This window comes from Homo sapiens, chromosome 1 (assembly GCF_000001405.40).
Source record: "Homo sapiens chromosome 1, GRCh38.p14 Primary Assembly".
NCBI lineage: Eukaryota > Metazoa > Chordata > Mammalia > Primates > Hominidae > Homo > Homo sapiens.
In genome coordinates, this window is record NC_000001.11 from 235,778,984 (window position 1) to 235,805,046 (window position 26,063).

At 35.4% G+C, this 26,063-nt stretch overlaps 1 protein-coding gene across 16 annotated transcripts in view; it reads right to left on the reverse strand.

The window, feature by feature from the left end:
- Nucleotides 1–26,063, reverse strand: part of LYST (lysosomal trafficking regulator) — a 222,683-nt gene that overhangs the window by 117,953 nt on the left and 78,667 nt on the right. For all 16 annotated transcript variants that reach the window (XM_011544032.2, NM_001301365.1, XM_011544031.2 and 13 more), the window contains 10 exons: nt 25,521–25,682; nt 23,925–24,081; nt 21,888–22,114; nt 21,337–21,403; nt 14,520–14,629; nt 12,716–13,142; nt 9,718–9,862; nt 8,217–8,390; nt 2,944–3,104; nt 1,882–2,072 (listed from right to left, as the gene is read on the reverse strand). In XM_011544032.2, coding sequence (XP_011542334.1) covers nt 1,882–2,072; nt 2,944–3,104; nt 8,217–8,390; nt 9,718–9,862; nt 12,716–13,142; nt 14,520–14,629; nt 21,337–21,403; nt 21,888–22,114; nt 23,925–24,081; nt 25,521–25,682 — 1,821 coding nt within the window. The remainder of the gene's footprint in view (nt 1–1,881; nt 2,073–2,943; nt 3,105–8,216; nt 8,391–9,717; nt 9,863–12,715; nt 13,143–14,519; nt 14,630–21,336; nt 21,404–21,887; nt 22,115–23,924; nt 24,082–25,520; nt 25,683–26,063) is intronic.

Genomic DNA, 26,063 nt, shown 5'->3' on the forward strand with positions numbered 1-26,063 from the left:
AGCCTCCTGAGTAGCTGGGATTACAGGCATCTGCCACCATGCCTGGCTAGTTTTTGTATTTTTAGTAGAGACAGGGTTTCACCATGTTGGCCAGGCTGGTCTCAAACTCCTGACCTCAGGTGATCCACCCGCCTCGGCCTCCCAAAGTGCTGGGATTACAGGCATGAGCCACCGTGCCTGGCCGAGGGTACCACTTCTCCCTAACCATTGTTTCACAAGCTTATAACTCCCAAATTACTAAATCGGGCTTAAACAATTTGCTCTCTAAAAATAGTTTTCACATAAAACCCTCAGAATTTTCATTCATGATAATTTATGTTGAGTTTTGTAACTTATATGACCTATATACCGTTCAGGAAAAATAAAAGGATTAGGGAAATTTTTCTATGAAAACAAATGGATTAACCAAAAACTATTGAGTTAAAGTTATTACTTGAACAAACATCTGTGTGAGCTCCTCAGTCTCCCTAAGGCAGAGGTTCTCAAAGTGTGATCCTCAACCAGCATCAGCATCACCTAGGAACTTCTTAAAAATGTAAATTCCAGGGTCACACTTCAGACCTACTGAATCAGAAGCTCTGGCCCAGCAATCTATATTTTAACAAGCCCTCTGGATGATTCTGGTGCACACTCAGGTTTGAGGAACCATTTCCCTAAAGGATGTTTTCTTAATGGTGGGACATTTAGGATAGGATCATTCTTTGTTGTATAATAGTGTTCATGTACTGTAGAACATTTAGCATCACTGGCCCTTACTACCCAATAATTATTGACAACCAAATCTACCCTCCCCGCAACTCAACAACAACAACAACACCACAAACAACAAAATACATTCCAAAACAGTAGTCTCCTTCAAGTAAGAAATATCTGTACTTCTCATAAGAAGCAAGAGAAAGAGGAACCCAGTTTCATGGCCAGATCTACTAGATTTTAGTAGATTTTCTAAGACTATTTATGAAGGCTCAGTTTTCTAGTTGCTATAACGAAAAATCCTCACCACTAGCTCCTACATTATATACTGGTAGAACAAAATATTGGAATAATATATAAAAATCAATAGAGTCTCATATAAGCAGAATTAGCAATACTTTGAAAGCAAAATTCCTAATTTTACTGATATTAAATAATAAGTTTTTTAGGCCAGGCATGGTGGCTCATGCCTGTAATCTCACCATTTGGGAGGCTGAGACGGGAAGATCGCTTGAGGCCAGGAGTTTGAGACTAGTCTGGGCAACAAAGCGAGATTCCATCTCTACAAAAATTTAAAATTAGCCCGGTGTGGTGATGCATGACCACAGGCCCGGCCACTTGGGAGGCTGAGGTGGGAGGATCATTTGAGCCCAGGAGTTCAAGGCTGCGGTGAGCCATGATCACACCACTGCACCCAAGCCTGGGTGACAGAGTGAAATCCTGTCTCTTAAAAAAAAAAATAAAAAATAAAAAAGAGTAGGTTTTCTAAGACCTGAATACATGTAACTAAAACTAACATTATAAATGGATATTATTTATTTATAAGTATGGAAAGAAAATATAATGAGCAACATTTTTTAGGAGTATGTCAAACTAACAAGTGTTATTTTCACTGTATCATAAACATTTTTCCTGAATAATTAGTAGGTATAAAATAAACTAAACTGATAAACTTTTTATAGAAATATAATTTCAAGGAAAAGGAGATATAAATATAAAGCCTGAAACAAATTTTGAAAGGAGATCAAAGTGTTTCAATTTTTTTCAGAAAAAAACATAATTCTAAGAAAAGAAAATGATAAGGAACCACATTAAAATCTTTAGAAATCTAATTCATAACTATACATTACAATAAATATACCTAAATACATTTACTATAAAATTAAAATTTATAAAATTAAAACTTACAATTAAGAGACCAATATCCACATCTTTCTTGGTCATAAAAAGTTCTCTGATTTGTTCACATCGCAAAATTTCTTTATTAATATATTTGGAGTAGTCATTGACTGGCTTGCCATACTTACATGGCATTACAGATGTATGGTTGGGTCCACAAGCATACAGATAAAAGGCCTCTTGTGAACCAACCTTAGCTCCTGAATAGCAGAAAAATAAAGTTAGTTATTTAAAACACCCTAACCAGAATTTTTCATAAAAAGCAAGAAACCAGGAATTATTTTTTGTAGCCAGATTCTTTCAGTTGTTCACTATATTTTATAAAATTGATAAAGCCTCAATTTCGAAATTGGTGTAACGAGAAAATAACCTATGTCAACTATGATGGAAGATGAATTAATGTATATAAAGTTAATTGTGAAGCTTTTAATTAAATCATAACATTTCCATTTGCTCCTTAGCCAGAAAACAGGTTTTCTGTTTTATTTTACTTTGTTGTATTTTTTAAATAATGGGAGCTATATCTTGGTAAACTCCATTTCTAACTAAAATTTGAATCAATATCTTTATTCCTTCCTATTTAGTCAATAAACACTGTCTGAATGCTATTATGTGTGAGGTTTAAGGACATATTTTTTAAAAATCATATATTTCATTTTTCCCTAAAATTTGATATTTGTATAAGATATAATAAAATTATAAAGGAGACAACCAAGATAAGTTTACTAGTCATGATGCTACATTATCCAGTATAAAAAAACGCTAAGTTAATATGAGCTTCTCTTTTTTGAGGATGGAAGAAATACATTTTTATATTAAATGTATATATCAATTGTAAGACACAACTAGATTACAAAAACGTTAAAATATTTTAAAAGTATATCTTAGAATCTTGGAAATACAGTACTTATTAAACACAAGTAAAGGAACATAGATGGATATTTTAGCCAGGTTAATTTACTTAGTTTAATATTTGTTAACTGAGAAAAAAAACTGGAAATGTTTCAAAGGAAAAAAATCTCACTCTGTCGCCCAGGCTGAAGTGCAGTGGTGCAATCATAGCTCACTCACCGTTGAAGAGAAGCAAATTTCCCAGGTCCCATTTTCCAGCCAACTGCAAAAACTCTTCTTGGGATGATAAACAATGGCCAATCATGCAAAATGTTTTATTGCTATCAGATGACAAACTTGTTTTTCTTGGAAGCATAAAATCCAAAGTAACATCAGGCTTCCTACATTAAAAACAAAACAAAGTTAAAGCAATGACTTTAGGAAGTCTAGTACTAAGTATTTTTAAAGTATGAATATTTAACAATGGGGAATTCTTTTTTTTTTTTTTTGGAGACAGAGTCTCGCTCTGTTGCCCAGGTTGGCACGATCTCAGCTCACTGCAAGCTCCGCCTCCTGGGTTCACACCATTCTCCTGCCTCAGCCTCCCAAGTAGCTGGGATTACAGGTGCCCGCCACCAGGCCTGGTTAATTTTTTGTATTTTTTTTTTAGTAAAGACGGGGTTTCACTGTGTTAGCCAGGATGGTCTCTATCTCCTGACCTCATGATCCACCCGCCTTGGCCTCCCAAAGTGCTGGGATTACAGGTGTGAGCCACCACACCCGGCCTACAATGGGGAATTCTTGAACAATTTTCTTGGGTCATTATCAGCTGGCACTGGGGCAAGAGAGGAGGGCTAATTGTTTGTCTCTTGGTCAAAGGTGCTGCAGAAAGAGGGGAGCCAAAGAGAGATACCTGATGATCCCACGGCAGGCCATGGGAAATGTGACTAAACATTTGCTGCAAGTTTTCTTTGCCATTTGACTTCTGTATATGCACCTTCCTGGTTTACAGATATAAACCAACCACCTCCCCTTAATTTTGCCAAGAAGTCTCCCATCTTGACAAACAATTCCAAAAACTGGAATCCATGACATTCCAAAAATGTTATGTCATCTATGAGGCCTTTGAAAACTAATCAGTAAAAACATAACTTCTTCAAAATTTCTGTCTAGCCATTGAAATGCCAATACTTTCTGCATTTTCTGTTTTCTTAATGCTAAGTGATTATGCAGCTTTTGATTAGTCTCTTTTGCTTCATGGATAACGGTGAAGGAATGCTTACAAAAGACAGTACTGGAAAAGGCAAAATAAGGCTTTCTCACAGAAAGACACACAAAGCAGGGAGGACTTCATCAACTAGTGAAACCACAGAGCTCTACCCCTAATTTAGGAATGTTTTAAACTCCATTTTAAGATAATGAGAGTAATCTATGAAGGCAAAGTCTAAATAAAATTTGTAAGATGAAGACAGGATAAGCTAACACGGGTAGCTCTTAATGAGAAATTCAACTTTGTGTATATTTATTTTAAAAGTTTTGCCTAAGGCTCTCTGTTTCACATATAACATATAAACTTAACTATTTTAATGTTTTTTTTTTTAATAAAGGAAAGATGTGGGATACATTCAATGACATACTTCTCCTTGACCAAATAAATGGCTGTGACTGAAACTCTATTGCCATCTAGTGGCATTATGACTTAAAATAGTTTTAAATTTTTTATTTTAAAAAATAGTTTTTCAATGAGAACATACGGACACAGGGAGGGGAACATCACACACCGGGGCCTGTCGGCGGGTGTTGGGGCAAGGGGAGGAAGAGTATCAGGACAAATACCTAATGCACGTGGGGCTTAAAACCTAGATGACGGGTTGATGGGTGCAGCAAACCACCATGGCACATGTATACCTATGTAACAAACCTGCACGTTCTGCACATGTATCCCAGAACTAAAGTAAAATAAAAATATAACAATGAAATAAAAATAAAATAGTGTTTTTAAGGGTGAAAGAAAACCTATTGCAGGATGAATGCAAAATGAATTAAACAAATATTAAGTATCTACTATGTGCCATATATTTCTGCCATATTTGTAAGCTGTTAATAACAACTAATAGAAAGTATTAACTCATTTTCAGTACTGTTACCTTATTTTAAAAGGCCTCTTCAAATGTATTCTTTTAGAAATTCTTTTTTTTTTTCTTTTAAATTGAGACAGGGTCTCGCTCTGTCACCCAGGCTGAAGTGCAGGGGTGCAATCATGGCTCACTGTAGCCTTGACTTACTGGGCTCAGGTGATCCTCCTGCCTCAGTGTCCCGAATAGCTGGGACTACAGCTACGCATTACCATGCCCAGCTAATTTTTTTATTTTTAGTGGAGACAGGGATTTTCCATGTTGCCCAGGTTGGTCTTGAATTCCCGTGCTCAAGCAATCCTTCTGCCTCGGCCTATCAAAGTGCTGGGATTACAGGCATGAAGCACCATGCCTGGCCTAGAAATTATTCTATAGCTTATAAAGTGACAAAGATACTAGAGAACCAAGTTTAAGTCAACAGAATAAAATATTTGTCCTTGGTCACTTGCTCTGTTAACCAATGAAATTAACTTGTGCCAAATGGCAAACAATTCTCTCAAAGGAGTATAGCTGTAAGTTGGTGGGTAAAAAAACAGAGTGATATGTGAATCAAGTGACCATGCTTACTAATTTCAGACTGTCCACAATAAAAATCTAATCTCTCATTCTGAACATTTCTAATAGTTTATGGTTCCTCTACCTGTCAGCTGACATAATTCAGAAAAAGGCTGCAGGGGCAGTAAAGCATAGGGTTTTAAAGCATGGGCCCTCCCTAGGGTCAGAGTTTAGGTTAAACTTTCAGCTCTACCCCTTACTTGTGGCATGAGTTTGGGAAAGTCACTCTAGGTCTCAGTTGCCTCATATGTAAAATTGGGATAATAATATACCTACTTTATAGTATTGTTGGGAGGATTAAATCAGGTAATCTGTATAAAGTGCCTAATACAGTGCCTGGCACATATTGAGAGCTCAAGAAATTGAGTGGAGAGTGCCTAGGAGAAAGGGGCTCTCTACTTACAACTCCAGCCCCAGCTCCATCTGATTTAACTATAGGTTCTGGAAACAAATTTGCTGATTGGCTACAGCTGCCATGGCAGCTATGAAGATCGAGAACGTCACAGACAGTATTTTATTTGGAACATGGAACATGGAAATTAGGCTTCAATTACGTATTTTTACATTTTTTAAAATGAATACAACAAAACTGAACTCTTAATTTTACTTCCAAAGCATGTTCTTGCTTGTGGCAGACACCATGGACTGTAAAGCAATCCACAAGCTCCTGCTCCCTGTCTCCCTCTATTATTGAGGCTGGACAGCTGTAAGCAATCAATTGCTGCAGCCTCCTGCAGTGATGCCCTGTCTTCCACCTCAAACTGTCCTCCTCCCACCTGCACAGGGCAAATTCCATCTCCTCCTTCAGGTCTCAGGTTTAATACCCTGTTCTTAGATAGGCCTTCCCTGATCCACCCATCGTAAGTGTCAAACTCGATATTTTCTGCCTCAGGGTTTTAAAGCATGGGCCTCACAGTATTTTTCATCATTTGTAAATATTCATTTAATTGTGTTTGCTTGTTGTCTGATTCCTCATCAGACTGTGAACTCCAGGAAGGCAGGGAATGTGTCTATCTTGTTTACCATTGTCCCCTAGGCCTAATTAATATATCAAGTGCTCAAAACACTGTAATTCCTCAATAAATGTAATGAATGAACAAATGAATGAATAAAAATAGGTTAATCTGTGTTAAGGGTATATGTTATTTCCATGGTCTAATCTACTTTGAGGGATTTTTGAGAGAATTAGATGATGTATATAAAGCACCTAGCAAAAGGTCTGCAACATAGTAAGTATGCAGTATTATATTCCCTTTGATTAAATCTAGACTTCTCAGCTTGGCATTCAAAGCCTGTTAAGTAGTCTCACCATGTCCATTCATTTTTATTTCTCATTATTCAACTTAAACTCATCCAACCAGCTTAATCCTCTACCATGCTACATTACAGTTTCGAATTCTCTATCTTCTTTCATGCTACTTCATTCAATACAATACTTCCCAATGCTTACAAATCGAAGATACCTTATAGTTCCTACAGGCTAAAATTTGACATTAAGATATTCCACAAGATGTTTCTTATTAACTTGGCTCACAATTCTCCTATGTGGTAAAAATCATACAGTACTCTCCCTGAATCTATCACTTGGTATATTTCTAGCACTCTATCTGAATCTATCACCTTATACATAGGCTAGTCATTCTAATTTCTTTTGAAAGCCTAATTTAATTTAGGTATTAGCCTTATTAGCCACTTAATTTAAATAATTATCACGGCTTCAGTTTTATAATATATGGGCTTGCAGGATGAAATTACAGATTCTGTTCTTTGATATATAGTTATACATAAATGTCTAAATTTCTGGGTATCTGCATGCTCCCCAAACCCAAATATTAATTTTCAACAGTCACTTCGACAGGAGGCTTATTTTGCATGAAAATGACCAATAGGAAAAAAAAGTCCAACTCTGACAGATTTGTAAGTTAAAGTATAGTAAATTTTTCAGAGAAATGCAAATCAAAACCACAATGAGATACCATCTCACACCAGTTAGAATGGCAATCATTAAAAAGTCAGCAAACAACAGGTGCTGGAGAGGATGTGGAGAAATAGGAACACTTTTACATTGTTGGTGGGTCTGTAAACTAGTTCAACCATTGTGGAAGACAGTGTGGTGATTCTTCAAGGATCTGGAACTAGAAATACCATTTGACCCAGCCATCCCATTACTGGGTATATACCCAAAGGATTATGAATCATACTGCTATAAAGACACATGCACATGTATGTTTATTGCGGCACTATTCACAATAGCAAAGACTTGGAACCAACCCAAATGTCCATCAATGATAGACTGGATTAAGAAAATGTGGCACATATACACCATGGAATACTATGCAGCCATAAAAAAGGATGAGTTCATGTCCTTTGTACGGACACGGATGAAGCTGGAAATCATCACTCTCAGCAAACGATCGCAAGGACAAAAAACCAAACACCGCATGTTCTCACTCATAGGTGGGAATTGAACAATGAGAACACTTGGACACAGGAAGGGAAACATCACACACTGGGGCCTGTCGTGGGGTGGGGGGAGGGGGGAGGGATAGCATAGGAGATATACCTAATGTAAATGACGAGTTAATGGGTGCAGCACACCAACATGGCACATGTATACATATGTAACAAACCTGCACATTGTGCACATGTACCCTAGAACTTAAAGTACAATAATAATAAAAAAAGAAACAACAAAAAATATAGTAAATTTTATTATAGTAAAAACCTAGAAGTTTCTGTATTCTGTTTCAGAAGCTATAATTGACTAATGAAACATAACATTGTAACTGAGATTGAGATGCATTTTCTCAAAATGCTTCCTACCTCTGTCCAGAGACCCATATGGAGATTTTCCCATGAATCCTCCTTTTCCCTTGGGGCTGCTGTAAGTAGGTGAGTACTAAATGTTGCCATTTGCTTGGGAGGAAAATATTCTCCTGTGATTCAACCTGTGCTAGTAAAACAGCTTTCATGTCATCATTTGAATCCATGCACACACTACAGAAAAAGAGAAAAGGCATAGGCTGAAAACATGAAAATTCTGACCTCAGTGTTTAACATACATATAGTAACTATAATTCTAAATAAGTAAGATTAAAAATCAGTTCTATTTTTTTTAAAGTGCTTGAAAAGTCAGTAGGTCTTCGTTTTATACCATAAGTTACTTAGTTATTCTATCATTACCTCAATTCATGAACTAAAATAGATTAGGCTCATTGGCTGGTAGTCATAATTTAGGCAATAATGTTCAGAATTCAGTTTGTAAAAAAATATATATTATTACTATTTATATAGCCATTGCCCATTTAGAAATTACAATGTATTATTTGGTTCATAGAAAAATTAATATAAATGTCTAAGTATTGGAGGTCTAATCTACTTTGTGGGATTACTGAAAGAATGAGGAGATAATGTACATAAGGCACCTAGTAATGTTTGTAACGTTTACAAAGTATATATTCCTAAATAACATACTGGTTTGTTTAGATTTGAGTTTTAGACAAATAGTATCATACTATTCATACTCAATACAAATAAAAGACCTGTATCTATACTACTTAATAAAGGAGATAGTATAAAAGGACAAGATAACAAGGAGAACCCAAGCTTATTAGGTAATCGCTATTAAATATATAATGCACATGGAAAACTTATGTCTGTTAATAACATCTTAAGACCATTACAATCTGATAGAATATTTCCATAGCATAAGACTTCAGTATTTGATCTAAAATCAAACAGAGAATTAATGTATTTTATTTACTCATTTATTTTTTGTTTTTATTTATTTATTTATTTTTTGAGACAGAGTCTCACTCTGTCACCCAGACTGGAGTGCAGTGGCGCGATCTGGGATCACTACAACCTCTGCCTCCCAGATTCAAGTGATACTCCTGCTTCAGCCTCCCAAGTAGCTGGGACTACAGGCATGCACCATCATGCCTGGCTAATTTTTGTGGTTTTTTGTTTTTTTGTTTTTATTTTTATTTTTTGTAGAGATTGGGTTTCACTATGTTGGCCAGGCTGGTCTCAAACTCCTGACCTCAGGTGATCTGCCTGCCTTGGCCTCCCAAAGTGCTGGGATTACAGGCATGAGCCACCACACCCAGCCGAGAATTAATATATTTTAGACTTTATGGATTTTTGGATAGAATAATACACTATTATAAAAGTGGTATTAATAGCTGTTAGAATGTATATATTTTTAAATGAGACTTTTTGTTTTGCTATAATGAACTTTTATTAGTAGATTTCACATTAATGTCTCTTACACAAATTATTTAAATACATTATCTATTCATGGGAGGCTGAGGATAATCAATACCGAAAGATAAGAGTGGCATTGTGGGGATCAGCCCACACTTGGATCATCAACGCTTTGGATCCCAGTGAAATTATATGAATACATCCTTCTTCTATGAGTCTTTCACCAGGATTTATGTACTCTGCACCTTCTGGTCTGTCGCTCTCTATAAGAAAAAGATGTTAGAATGATCAGTAAAATGGTTCGTAACAACTGAGTAGAAAAGTGAATTTAGAAGAATACAAAGCAAATTTGTTCATTTGTAGTAGGTTATCTACCCAGAATGTCTGAGCCTGACCTGTTCTAAACAACCATATTTTCAGAGTATAGATGTTAACTCCAAAAAAGCACGAGGGATGAAAAATGGTAATTCAGTACTTTAAAAGTTATTAGATATTAAAAAATGTATAATAACTGAGGACAATTGTGGGCGTAACCAGACCGCTATGTGACAACCTATTACAATGTGTACCAAGCTTCTTTTATCAACTATGACTTCACTGACCCTGGTCCAGGGAGCACACATCATTGTCCATGCCTCACACTACCAAAACTCATTCTAGAATTATCACAATATGGCATGATTTAAAAAAAAATATCATATTACAAATTTTAAGGAAAAACTCTAGTGTTTGAATATATTCATAATTTATATTCCCTGGTGAGTAGTTTTTGCATATAATTGCTAAGTGATTCTGAAACTCTAATGTTTCTTTAAGGCAAGCTAGGGTAAATGCTTACAGGCTTGGGCTATCTGGTTATTTATCTTGACTCCTCTTCCTCATCTTTGAAAACCCAGCACTGCCTGAAGATGTATGATGATCTACTTGTCATTATAATACATGTGACTTTATGTAAAGCTATGTTATGATATATCAAAATCCAAAATACATGTCCAAAGGCTCAGACTTTTAAAGAACACTACTGCTTATTAGACTGCATACATATTAGTTGCTATTTTTCAACAGGTAAAACCATGACCGATGTTAAAAAAATACTCCCTGTAGCGATGACAATAGTTTTAAAAAAGAAGAGTTAAGGTCACTGATTATTTTGAGGCTGCTGACCAAGATATATGATATACAGAGAACTCACATCTGATGTGAAATTTTAAAAATGTTCCATACCAAATATGAACTTCTGCAAATAAAAGAGTAGGACAAAACCAGTGTGTACCTAGGAATTATAGAGTAGTAATATTACAAATATTTAACTTAATGCTCACAACCATCTTATAAGGTAAATATATATAGGGTGACAAAATTGAGGTGCTGAGAGGTTAATTTGCCCAAAGGCACCAGTTAGTTTAGAGGTAAAAGGTATGATATCGCAGCAAAATATTCTTTATCTCTCTTCAAAACTTTTTATATATGTCTACTATTTTTAAGTGTTTATACAAAATCATCTTTCTAAAATATGTTTTCTAATATATCCTTAAAATAAAAATTAAGAAAAAACTTTCCAATATTTACTTTTCTCAGGTCACTATGTATATTTATTCATTTTATAAGAGACTGTTTACATTGAGATTGCCTCCATTAAAACATGAGAAAGCAATCTGCATAGCTTATAGTATAGTAGCAATGTTAAGGCTCTGGAATTAAAAACAGGTGGGTTTCAATTCCTTTCCATCACTTACCAGCTACATAACTTGGTCATGCTACTTAACTTCCTCTAAAAATACAGATAGTATGAGCACTTACTAACTTGTTAAGATTAAAAATGTATATAGAACCAGCTGAGCAAAGTGACACATACACAGAAAGCACTCAATGCACATTAGATAGCATAATAAATATTATCACATGTAGAGCTATCAGTTCTTAGGTGGCAAAATTCAATCCACAACAGAAAATTCTAGTGAAGGCATAGTGTCCTAAAACAGAGGTTCCACTGGATGAGAAAGATTTGTGGAATGAAGAGCTACTGAGGCCTGCATCTCCATGTACATATAAAACCCTAAACATCTGTCTCATCCAGTCATTTCATTCATTCCACAGGCCCTAAGAATTATCCTACCTACTTCACTTTCCATCACCATAAATTGCTTTTCAATGAACAGTTTTTTTTCTGCCCTAGTCATATGAGAAACAAGATGCAGTATAATAGCAATTCTTCAGTTAAAGAAGGAACTGGAATGAAATTTATTCTAATGTTGGAGAATGGCTGATGCATTTAAACATTCTGTGACAGGAACTAGGGGAGGGCCACTGAGGTAAGACATGGCATGAGAAGGAGAACTTGAAATAAAAGAGAGAAAGAAGTTTGCGACCAGCCTGACCAACAGGGAGAAACCGCTGTCTCTACTAAAAATACAAAATTAGCCGGGTGTGGTGGCTCACACCTGCAGTCCTAGCACTTTGGGAAGCTGAGGTGGGCAGATCACCTGAGGTCAGGAGTTTGAGACCAGCCTGGCCAACATGGTGAAACACCATCGCTACTAAAAATATAAAATTAGCCAGGTGTGATTGCTGGCGCCTGAATCCCAGCTATTCGGGAGGCTGAGGCAGGAGAATCGCTTGAACCTGGGAGGCGGAGGTTGCAGTGAGCCGAGATCGCGCCATTGCACTCTAGCCTGGGCAACAAGAGTGAAACTGTCTCAAAAAAAAAGAGAGAGAAAGAAAAGGAAATGGGGACTGTCTAATAGGGGCTGGGAAACAACAGAAAGAAAGGCAGCTATAAGGTTTTATCCTTTTATAACATCAGGAGCCACCCTAATCCAGTAATGGGACCAGGAGAGAAGTCACATAAGGAACTTTAGGGGCTGATGACCCCAGAAAAAGTTGTATATGTGGTGTCCCCTTCACCCCTATAAAAAACTAAAGTTTCCGTAATAGAGATTCAAGGCTTTATGACAACTCATGCTTTGATAAGTCAGGACCTACCACCACTAAGTAAGGCATTTAAGGTGAAGAACATGTTAAGAGTGTTAAGAACACTACCACATTTTTACGGCTCAAGGAAAATTATAGTCTGAAAACAATCTTTGTGTACAAATCAGATAATCCTGTCATCATACCTGTACCATCAAAACTGCTATCTGGTAAAATTAATGATTTGTTTCTTTTCTTTATCTTCTTTCCTTTTTCTGTAGTACTCTCAGCTTCATGGATACACTCCACATTAAACCACAGGGAAACACTGAAACCTTCTGATAGGTGTGGCCAGCAGTTTTGCCCCAGCAACGGCAGGTGGACTGGGGCTATGTGCCAAGATGAAAGCAGCCGATGGGGAAAACTCTCTCTATCAGCCTCTTTCTTGCTCCGTGAAACTCGTGCTCTTCTCAATAAACCCATGGCCTTACTGTTTAAAATCCCAGGATACTTTTGTGATGAAACACCGTTGCTTAAATTTGGAGCGTGCAGTAAAGGGAAGGTTAGATACTGTGAAGGGCTCATAGTAGTATCACTTTCAATAATTTTCAGAATACCCAGAAGAAGAATTTTCTAGAGAAAAAGAAAAACAAATGAAACTTTCTAATCACGTAATAAAGTACATAATAATCTTGAAATTTAGGTTATAAATGAAAATACAAACATACCCACACATATCAGCATTCCTATTTAAATACCTTCCTATCTCCCACATCTTTAAAACTTTCATTTTCTCGTAGCTGAGATAAAATATGAAACAGATTTCATTCTTTTTTTTTTAAGACAGAGTCTCACTCTGTTGCCCAGGCTGGAGTGCAGTTGCACAATCTCGGCTCACTGCAACCTCCGCCTCCCAGGTTCAGGCGATTCTCCTGCCTCAGCCTCTGGAGTAGCTGGCATTACAGGCACCCACCACCACCCCCAGCTAATTTTTGTATTTTTAGTAGAGACGAGGTTTCATCATGTTGGCCAGGCTAGTCTTGCACTCCTGACCTCAGGTGATCCACCCACCTCGGCCTCCCAAAGTGCTGGGATTACAGGCGTGAGTCACCATGCCCAGCCTTCATTCTTAAAATATGTAATCTTTTGTGGTTAATTTGTTTCATGTTTAGATTTTTTTTTTTTTTTGAGATGCAGTTTAGCTCTTGTTGCCCAGGCTGGAGTGCAATGGCATGATCTCAGCTCACTGCAACCTTTGCCTCCTGGGTTCAAGCAATTCTCCTGCCTCAGCCTCCTGAGTAGCTGGGATTACAGGTGCATGCCACCAAGCCCAGCTAATTTTTGTATTTTTAGTAGAGACGGGGTTTCATCATATTGGTCAGGCTGGTCTCGAACACCTGACCTCAGGTGATCTGCCCACCTAGGCCTCACAAAGTGCTGGGATTACAGGTATGAGCCATGGCGCCCTGCCTTAGATGTTCTCTGGAACATCCAATCCCACTACAAAGTAGCTCCAAAGTTTTCTGTCTTATTTGCTTATGCTTCTAGTCAAGGTTTCATTATAAAAATGGGTTTCCTAGCAGATAATAGTTTAAAAGACACTAAGCCACACCAATGGAAAGGGGAAGCATAGACAATAATTGAAGAGTATAGTGGATAATAACCTTTTGAAAAGGATAATCCCTAAGATGGTTGTAACTATTCATAATTAAGTTCTCTTTAGTAATTAAAATTATTCAGCTTTTCTGAAGCACAAAAACTGGGGATGGGGTGGGTAAAGAAAATATAATCTCAGCGATATGTCTGGTTAATCCAAATTGAAGTGAAATGGTTAAAATATATGCAAATAATTGAGTATTTCACACATAATAACATGAAATTGCCTATACCAACTGTCACATCAAAAGAAAGAGCTTAGTAACATTTCTAAATAATTAAAAATACATTCTATTAAAAATTGTAAGTGAAAGAATTTATCAGTGAAAAATGTAAAAATTATAGCATATTTACTGTACAAGGAGATTTCTCCAGAAATATTCTCAAAAGAAGGGTTAGCTCTTCTGAACATGTTCTTGAACTCATCAAAGATACCAAAAGATCCACCAATACTCTCTGGCATGCTAAATTAAAGAAAGAGGGAAAAAATTAAAGCTAGTACACAATTAGAGGAATAAATGAGCAATTTCACCAAAAGAGGTAAAATACTATTGTCACTTTTTGAATGGATTATAAAAAATCTAGTATAGGAATCACAAAATTTGCTGAAGAAATAGCAATATAACTAAATGTAAATCAACCAACCAACAAAAACAACAAAAACCACTTTTCTTTTTATTATTTTTATTATTATTATTATTTTAGACAGAGGCTCGCTCTGTCACCCAGGCTGGAGTGCAATGGCATGATCTCGGCTCACTGCAACCTCCACCTCCCAGGTTCAAGCAATTCTCCTGCCTCAGCCTCCCGAGGAGCTGGGACTACAGGCACGTGTCACCATGCCCAGGTAATTTTTGTATTTTTAGAAGAGACGGGGTTTCACCATGTTGGCCAGGCTGGTCTCGAACTCCTGACCTCAGGTGATCCACCTGCCTCGGCCTCCCAAAGTTCAGGGATTACAGGTGTGAGCTACCATGTCTGGCCAGCATGAGCTCACTTTTCTTGAAGATTAATTAGCTACAAGTAAACTAAGGGCATTCTTTAAAGAAACATAAATCAATATAATATTTGTTAAGCTAATGCTTCTATATCATAAAATAGTCTGCTATCTTATCTTGAAAATGTTTAAATTATATCTATCACTTTTTAAGTACGAAATTAGATGACAAGTAGTGGAAATATTAAAGATGATTTAAATACTTAAATACCACAAACTATTTAGTTTGAACATTTTCTTTATTCCATCATAGGTTTAGCATAAAACATAAATGGTGATATACAAATTCATAGAATTCTTTGGAGCAAAATAATAACTAATATTTGTAGAGCAAATTATAGTGTTCAAAGTATTTTTACATGCTTTATTTCAGCTGATCCTCACCAAAAACAAAAAACCCTAGAAAATAAATATTATCTCCACTTTGACCTGAAAGAAATAATCTTGATTTAAAACCTGAGATAAGTTTTAAAAGACTGGTAGTTTTGGAAGACCTGGAGTTTAGAGAATAGAAGCCATATTTAAGCAACATATTTTGTAGAAGCAATGAGTTGACACAGTAGCAAAATAGTACATACATCTGGAGAGACTACTTGCAATGAGACTATAAAATAGCATGGACTTTATCCTGTACATAACATGAATCCATTAAAGGTTTTTAAGTAGGAAAATAATATGATCAGTGTGTGTGCTTACTTTTTTTTTCCAGTTCAAAACTGAGAGGTTCCAGTTAAAAATGGGGAAATGGATATATACACTTGCTTCTGTGTACTACTGAAAACTCATAGCATTAAAGTACAGAATTATAAGAAGGAAGAAATCCGTAACAGCAAAAATATGTGGGGGCAGTGGGCATTGGGGCACATCTAGTAAGAGATTTAAAAATATTTCTTGAAGATGGAAAAGTAGATGTATAAGAGAAAGCTGCAACCTAGAATTCCTTTGAATTACAAAGAGGTTCAGAGCAGTAAGAAGCCGAGCTGTCCATCTAAGGTCTGGAGAGAAAGTGACAGTGCGGCCGACAATACAGGGATTAACGAAAGGTCTGTCTGTGAATATCCACCTCTCTCCTGTTTCTCAGTACAGAGCACAGATAGTTCAGTATTCACTTTTAGGTCCCAAACCTGATAACTCTTCTCTAAATAAACGAAATGGTCAGGTGTATACAGGCTTTTAGCATCATGGCTACTGAGTGTAACTGTACAGTCTGCAGACTGAACAAACTGCCTAACCAAAGGGAAAAGTAGAGACTAAAATAAAGTCTGAATGCTGTATGCCAAGCCATGCATCCTGGTTTTGGGCTGTGATGCCTGGATCAAGAAAGGGATGCCTTTTTTCTCAGTGCAAAGACACTATACGCCAGCCAAGCCCTATATGTGAAAGATGCATTTTTCTAAGGTATGCAAACTGCCATGTAGGGTAATAGTATCCCTAATGGTCCCCCAAAGCAAAGCTCTCTTCATTAGGGTGTTTGGGAAGCCCCTAATCATCCAATGGCACATTCACACAGAGCTCTTCCACATACTACCCACTCAGGAAAGAGGCCAAAATAGAAAACAAATTCACTTTCACAATATTAGAGGAAATCTCCAACAGTTTTATTAAATATAAATGGTCTAAAAAGGTTCATAAAAATATTAGAGAATTAGCAACCTAAATCAGTAAAAATAATATTTAAAAAACAAAAAAACAGACAAAACTGACCCCAGAGGAAAAAGAGATAATTTGGGGACAGAAGAAACTTTAAGATGTTTATTACTATAATCAAATATATACAAGGAGATATTATATCCTTATATGAAAAAGAAATAACCAGAAAACAATCAAAAAAGAGCTCTTAAATATTAAAATTACCGAAATAAAAAATTAAATAAAAGGTTGGGATTGAAAAAATGTCTCAAAATGTAGCACAAAAACAGTGATGTAGTCAATATGACAGGAAAGATAATCTTATCTTTGCAAGATCAATTGGGAGGCTCAAGATAACAATTAGAATACAAAAAAAGAGGAGGGAATATGGAGAGGAGAAACTTATTTTTTAAAATAATAAATCTTTATAATCCTGTATTAGATCTAAGATATGACACTAAAAGCAAAGCAATGAAAGATAGAATAGACAAATAGGACTTCATAAAAATCTTTTAAAACATGCTTCAAAGTAAACCATCAAGAAAGTTAAGAAACAGCATAAAGAATGGGAGAAAATATTTGCAAACCACATATCTGATGAGGAACTTGCATCTAGAATACATAAAAAAAACCTCTTACTATTCAATAATCAAAACATGAATCACCAGTATAAAAATGGCTGAAGGATTTGGATAGGCATTTCTCTGAAGAAATCCAAAGAAAATACGCAAATAGCTAAAAAGCACACTGCTATGGTGTAAATATCTGTCCCCTCCAAAACTCAAGTTGAAATTTGGTTGCCATTGTGGTAGTGTTAAGAGATGGGATCTTTGGGAGGTGACTGGGTCATGAGGAGTCTGCCCTCATGGGTGTGATTCATGCCCTTATGAAAGGGGGAGTTCAGCCCCCTTTTGCCTCTCTTCCTTTCTGCATTTTGCCATGTGAGGATGCAGCAAGAAGACCCTTGCCAGATGCTGGCACTTTGATCTTGGACTTTCAGTCTCCAGAACTGTGAGAAAATAAATTTCTGTTCATTACAAATCACTCAGTCTGTGGTATTCCATTATATCAGCACAAATGGGACTAAGGCACACACAAAGGTATACTTAATACATTAGCCTTCAGGGGAATACAAATCAAAACCACAATGAGATACCACTTCATATCCACCAGGATAGATATAATTAAAAAGGCATATAATAACAAGTGTTGGCAAGAATGTGAAGAAATTAGAACCCTTATACACTGATGGTAAGAATATAAAATGGTATAGCCATTTTGGACAACAGTCTGTCAATTTCTCAAATGATTAAACACAGAGTTACCATATGACACAAAATAAATGACTCGAGAAATGAAAACATATGTTCACACAAAAAATTGTACATGAGTGTTCACAGCAGCATTATACATAGTAGCAAAAAAGGAGAACAACCCAAATGTCCATCAACTGATGAATGGATAAATCAAATGCAGTATATCCACACAATGGAATGTTATTTCAGCCAAAAAAGAAAAGAAGCAGGGAAGGGGAAAAGTAACTTTACAGTGGAGAGACCTGACAAACACTACTTAATGCAAGTGATCAAGGTCAACATCAACAATTATAAATCATGTTGACAATATGTACCCTTGATATGATTTAATGACAATGGCACTTTGTTTCTATTATCTTCCTCTCAAAAGTCCATACCCCTAGCATAATCATGACTTTTGACAAAGGTGCCAAAACCATTCAATGGGGGAGGGACAGTCTCTTCAACAAACGATGCTGAGAAAATTGGATATTCACACGCAAAATAATAATAATAATTATAAAGTTGGGTCCTTACCTAACACCGTATACAAAATTTAACTCAAAATGAATTCAGGATCTAAATGTAAAACTATATATACCTAAGAATAAAACTTACGGGGAACATTCCATAATATTGGATTTGTCAATGATTTCTTAGATATGACACCAAAGGTACAGCAAACTAAATAAAAAAATAGATAAATTGGACTTCAAAATGAAAAACTTTTGTGCATCAAAGGATACTATCAACAAGTAAAAACACAACCTACAGAATGGGAGAAAATATTAACATATCACATATCTGATAAGAAATCAATATCCAGAATATATAGAGAACTCTTAAACCTCAACAACAAAAAAAGAAACAACCCAATTCAAACATAAGCAGAGGGCTTGAATAGATATTTCTTCAAACAAGATATACGAATGGCCAATAAGTACATGAAAAGAGGTTCAACATCACTAATCATTAGGGAAATACAAATCAAAATCACAAGATAGCACAATGAGAAAAATGTCAAACAAATTCTGATACAGGGACATTCTGACCAGTACCCCTCAAAACTGTCAAGGCTAACAAAAACAAGGAAAGTCTGAGAAACTGTTACAGTCAAGAGGTACCTAAGAAGACATGACAACTAACTATTATGTAGTATTATCCTGGATAAAATCCTTGAACAGAAAAAGGACATTAAGTAAAAATTTAAGAAATCTGAATTATGGACTTCAGTTAATAATAACATATCAATATAAGTTCATTAATTATAATACATATATCATAAAAAATTAGATGTTAATAATAGGGAAAACTGGCAGGGAGGGGTGTAATGGGGGAACTCTTTATAATATCTGTTCAATTTCTCTGTAAATCTAAAGCTGTTCTAAAAAATAAAGTCTATTAATAAAAACTGAAGGAGAATTGCTTAACCTGGGAGGTGGAGGTTGCAGTGAGCTGAGATCGCACCACTGCACTCCAGCCTTGGCGACAAGGGCAAAACCCTGTCATAAAAAAAAAAAAAAAAAAAAAAAAAAAAAAAAAAAAAACACTGAAAAAAGGAATCTATGCAAAGTAAAAAATTTAAAAAATGATTAGAAAGAGAACTAAAGTGCTGAAACATGCTACAACATGAATGAAGGTTGAAAGCATCATGCTATGTGAAAGAAACCAGTCACAAAAGACCACATATTCCATTTATATGAAAAATATCCAGAAAAGGAAGTAGATGAGTGATTGCCAGGGGCAGAAGAATCCGTGCAGGGGAGGGTTAAGGTGCAATAGGCAATAAATGCTAAAGGGTACAGGGTTTCTTTTGGGGGTGATGAAAATGTTCTAAAATTAATTGTGGTCATGGTTGCACAGCTCTGTAAATAAACTGCCTACTACAAAACACTGAACTATACACTTTAAATAGGTGAATGTTATGGTATGGGAATTATATCCCAATAAACCTGTCATTAAATAATGGCATATAATTTCTCAGAGTTAAAAACACATATTCAGATCACAAGGGTTCACTAAGTGTCTAGCAAAATAATAAAAATACACCCATATACTAAATAAGTAAATGAATGAGAAGAGAAAGCTTTTCCTTACAGTACAATCTCAGTTAATAAATGAAGGAATGATGGAAACAGAAAATCACTATTTGGCAGATACCACAGAATTAACTGTTCCAGTCAAGAATCATCATACTTTCATATTTTTTTCATAATACTAAAATTAGTGGATGAAAGAATGAGAAAAAGTACATTTACATAGTCTCAAGTTATCTCCCCACAAGATACTTATTAATTATAAAGGGAAAATAGTAACTTTACAATAGAGAAACTTGGCAAACACCTCCTTAACCACATGATCAAAGTTAACATCACCAGTAGTAAGATCCAGATATCATAAGTCCTTTTGATATGATGCACTCAAAAGGACCCAATATCACTTCTGAGTATTCCTGACAAAAACGTATAACCTGAATTTAATCATGAGAAAACATCATACAAACCAAAATTAAAGTCTCGTGTAGGCTAGCCTTAATTCTCCAACTAAAATTTAGATTTCTTGTGATTAGCAATCATATTATACATTCATTATGAATTTCTCAAATGTCTGAGAAGTACCAAGTACAGATTAATCAATACCAGATATGGCAACAACATGGCATTAGACTGGGTTACAGTCCCCACTATGCCACTTCTTTGTATAAGACCCTGAACAACTCAACCCCTTGGAATCTAGATTTTCCTCTCTATAAACATACTTGCACTCTGGCTATTTCATTGTGTGGATCTGAGGAACAAACGAGATAATGCATATAAAGACACTTTTTTGAAATCACAGAGCACTATGCCAATGGAAGCCTTTTTTTTTTTTTTTTTTTTTTTTTTTTTTTTTTTTTTTTTTTTTTGAGACAGGGTCTTGCTCTGTCACCCAGACTGGAGTGCAGTGGCATGATCATGGCTCACTGCAGCCTTGGCCTCCTGGGCCTAAGCGATCCTCCCACCTCAGCCTCCCAAGTAGCTAGGACCACAGACATGCACCACCACACCTGGCTAATTTTTATAGAGACAGGTCTCTCTATATTGCCCAGGCTGGTATTGAACTCCCAGGCTCAAGTGATCCGCCTGCCACCTCAGCCTCCCAAAGTGCTAAGATCACAGGCATGAGCCACCACACCTGGCCAGAAGCCATTATTATCAACTTTTCACATAAAATAATTTCAGAGCTATTGTTTAAAACAGTTTCAACTTACCTTGAAAATCAGAATCATCCTGTGTTAAAATACTCAAGAACCCTCCTAAAAGATTTTTCACAGTTCCCTGAAGATTAAAAAAAATACAAAATTAAATTACTTACCTCACAGAAGCATGAAACAACTGCAATGTCATAATAAATTCTATGATAGGGTATCTACTATATATGTATATATGTATTTAAAAATGACTAAAAAGACTACTATGTGTAGGATTATACTAATTTTCATTTTCTTTTTATACTGATTGATTTTTCAAAACAGCGAGCATGTATTAAAATTAAATGCATTTTTAAAAATATTACCCAGTCTCAGAAATAGATGAGGATTTACTACTGGCTAGCAAAGGACATTAATTTTCTATGCTACTTTAGAAAACTATGGAATTAGAAGATTTTGGAATACCACTTGTAGGTATTCACCTGAGGTACCAGAAAAGATAAGTAATCATCTCAAATAATTTTCAGAAAAGCTGGGTTATACATAAGGAGATGTTATTGGGTGATGAGTCTGATAAATATTGATCACATTTAACTAAATGAATTTTTTACCTGTTGCATGAGCAGAAAAACATTCTTTTCTTTCTGCCTAATAATTTTCAAAAAACTCTCAAATACATGGGCAAGCACATCAAGTTTGGCTTTACTAGCAGAAAGCAAATTTAATTCCAGCATACAAATCTCAGGATAAATTATTTCCCCTTGAGTGAGGTTTTCGAGTAAGTCATTTGGACTGCTTGATGCACTGAAACCTTCTGTTTCAGACTTTAAGTCTACCCCTGAAAAGAGAAAAGCGAAAGATTACTTGTATTCCCTAAACACTAAATATTTCAAACTTCATTAATCATTTAGAAGATCTAGTGGCAAAAATAGTAATTCAGAGGATGCTTACAAAACCTTTTCCAATCTTTTCCTATAACACAACTTTTGACAATGATATGGAAATTTTGAAGATTAATGAGTTCCCTTAAAAGCAATTTTCATCTTCAATAGAACTACAAATTTTACAAATAAGAATTTTTACAGACATATGATAGAGATTTAACACATCCCATGGACACAACTTTAAAAAAAAAAAACCTATTCAAACTTTCTGACCCCCCCCTCAAATACCTAAATCACAGAGCAGTTCAATTTGCCTACCCAAATCTTTGTGAAAATAGTAGGCTTGACTAGTGGTTGGAAGAATGATCAATTTTGCCTTCTTCATAAGTGAGAAACAGACTCTGTCTTATTGAATATTGCATTTTGGAAAATTTGACTTATATGATCTTTTAAGACTGCTGTGCTCTTAATAAAATGTTGATACAGTTAAGAAATTTATAAATTTCTACCTAGATCAGAATTCTTTAAGTTGAGATCTACTTAGCAAACATAAAAAAGGAGGAAATCCAAAATTATAAAGTCAAATCTGTACTATGGTAAGCTGTACTATAAAAAAATTAATAAACCAATATTTTTTCAAAAAGCACCAGTCATGGGTCCATCAAGCCCTTTAAGTAAGATATCAGTGATTATTCCCATTCACTAGATGAGAGCGAGAAAACTGACTGTGAGGAAGATATCCTACTGAGAACTCAGTGAAGACTAGCAGTGGCTGGGTGCGGTGGCTCACGCCTGTAATCCCAGCACTTTGGGAGGCCGAGGCGGGTGGATCACGAAGTCAGGAGTTCGAGACTAGCCTGGGCAACATGGTGAAACCCCATCTCTACTAAAAATATAACAATTAGCTGGGCATGGTGGCGGGCTCCTGAAATCCTAGCTACTTGGGAGGCAGAGGTAGAAGAATAGCTTGAACCTGGGAGATGGAGGTTGCAGTGAGTCGAGATCACGCCACTGCACTCTAGCCTGGGCGACAGAGCAAGACTCCATTTCAAAAAAAAAAAAAAAAAAAAAAAAAAACTAGCAGTACTGGGACACTCACAAGGTCAGCATATAAAAAGATGGAGTCTTGCCAGAAGTCTCTTGGCTCTAATCAACCCATCTTTTCCATTCTACTCATTTTAAGTCCAAAGACAAGGGAGGAAAGGATCATAGGCAATATAGTTCCATCCTAAAGACAAATTGAGCTGTGGTAAACTAAGAAGAAATCTATGCTTGGCTGTCACAGACAGGTGTCTGCATTCCTGTATTATGTATTCTTTATAACAAACTGCCTGAATGCTCTTCCTGCCAGTGTTTGTCTGCCTAGCTTGTTTTCATTTAGTCCTCAATGTAAACATTGCCTCTTCAGAAAGGACTTCCCTCACCACCCAGTTACTAATACGACATCACCCAGTTTATCGATTTCTATTTTATTATCTATTTCTGGTATTTATTGTCTTTCACACTAGAATATACATGAAATTGGGGACTCTGTCCTTCACTCCATGTTCTTAACCACTCAGATGATGTTTGTGATAACAAACTATATCACATTGTTGCATATATGAATGCCAGACTGTTGGGAAGATCAATAAAAAGATTATGCAACACACTTGTTAAACTGTAAGGCAATACAAAATTCTAAAGTGGTATTATTATGAACCATTTTGCTATTTAATGATCTGGCTTGCAGATCTAATTACAAGCACTTCAATGATATTTTACCATCATCCTGGGTTTCGCCATCTTCAGGATTGCTTTCACTATCTGCTTCGTAACCTTCTTCTTCAACTAAAAGTTTAAAACTACAACACTGAGAATCCTCAGCTTCTTCTGAAAAATCACCAGGCTGGGATGACAATTCTTCTGCAGATTGATGACTCTATAAATCAGTGTAATTCAAAGGTTGTAACATTTGCTTGTTTTTAGTAATAGAATACTTATTACTCAAAAGTCATGTTAAGGACAGTTTCAATATTTTCTTGAAGAAAAAAACTTAGTAAACAATATGAATCATTATAAATTATGAAATTCACTCAGCAAAATTTCCCAGATCCTTTCAGACAACTTAATACCTCAAAAAGGGGGTTTCTAACAAAGTAAGTTATAGGTCATTTCAGTTTAATAAATAAATCTATGTAAGAAATTTCATTCTAGTTATACAATTGGAAATGACAAAAAACCACAATGTGGTAAAATTTTACTTCATACAATTTAATACTAATATATATTATTTGTGCACATTTGTTAATAAAAAAGATTTTTTCATAAGGATTTTTATAAATGCCTTATAAGTTAGGTAACTAGAGCAGACAAGACATTTTTTTCAAAGGGATTAATTAAAAGATCTCAGAATGCAACTGTCTACATAACAAGCATCTCAGAAGTCAAGAGTTCCAGTACTAACTTCCTGTGTAAGAAAGAAATTTTCCTTTTCTTATAAAAATTCCACTAATACCTTCATTTTAGAAAACATTTTCACTTAAAGAAGCTCAGAATACTTCATCATTGTAACAACAATAAAAGGTAGAATAAAGTAGGTATTTTAACATTTTACAGTTAGTCAATTAATTCAGTAATATGATGAACGTATTCATAGCTATTTCAGCATGTTTTTAAGTTATGGCAAATAGTAACATAAAATGTTATTTCAAAACCTTATAAAACATTATATATATGGCTAGATCAAGGAGCTAAAAGGAGAAGTTATATAAAAAATAAAGGACAGATGGCAACTAAAGGTAAAATAAACATAAAATGAGAGGGAAACAAGCCAATTATGTACCACATAATTTTAGGAAAGAAAATTACAACAGTTGTTTTAGGAAAAAATGTTAAACAACTAAAACACTGTGACTGCTATTTTCTATGTAGGCACTAGTCATTTTTATGTTGAATGATTTAAAATTAATGTGAGTAGAGAGTTCTGGAAATATTAGCTATACCACCAAAGAACCAGATAGGATAGGTAAATCACCACCATCCCTGAATTAGCATTTAATACACTATCAGGTATATGTAAAATATACCAAATCAAGTAATATATTTCTGTCTTAACTCGAAGTAATTCTCAGTAAATTTCCAGATTAGATAAGGAAAAGCTTATCATATCACTCTCCTGTTATGTATAAGACAGGGCAATGACAAAATACTGTCCATCCCATCACATATCCATCACGAGGAGATAAGATCCACTGAACTCATCTGACCAAGTCCTAGTCCATATGCTCTAATGACATTCATCAGCGTCCTAGTGTCATCCCACACTTCCGCCTCTGCTGGTCATACCCAAAGAACACAACTATATGTTGTTATTCATACCTTCTCAGTCATAGCATCATTATGTTCAAAATCTGCTGAATAATTCCCGAGGGCAACTCGAAGCAGGGCATCAAATAAAGGCTTTGCTAGTTGTGTTTCAATCACCTTTGACTGGGAAAGATGGTCCCTCATTTCAAATAATATACTTTCCACAGACAAGTTCTAAGGTAAAATAAAAGAGACTAAGAATATTAATAACCATTTTAAAAAACTAAATGATGAAAAAATAAATAATAAATATTTACTTAAGTATAAAGCTAATCCATTTATTTGCAGTTGATATGAAAGCAAAATGACTATATAAATATCTAGCTCTATACAAACATCCTGTTAAAATTAATAACATTTTTATTGATAAAATACTTAGTTCATCTTATTTGGTTTTCATTGCAGCATGGTAAAGAATGGCAAGAAATGAAGCTAAGCGAAGAAGTCAAAGCAAGACTGAAGAGTTTTGTGTGCTGTGTTAAAGCTTGTGAATTTCAATTGTGGAAATTCAGTGTGGAAGCATCAGGATTTTTTAGAGATAAGGCAACATGGAGG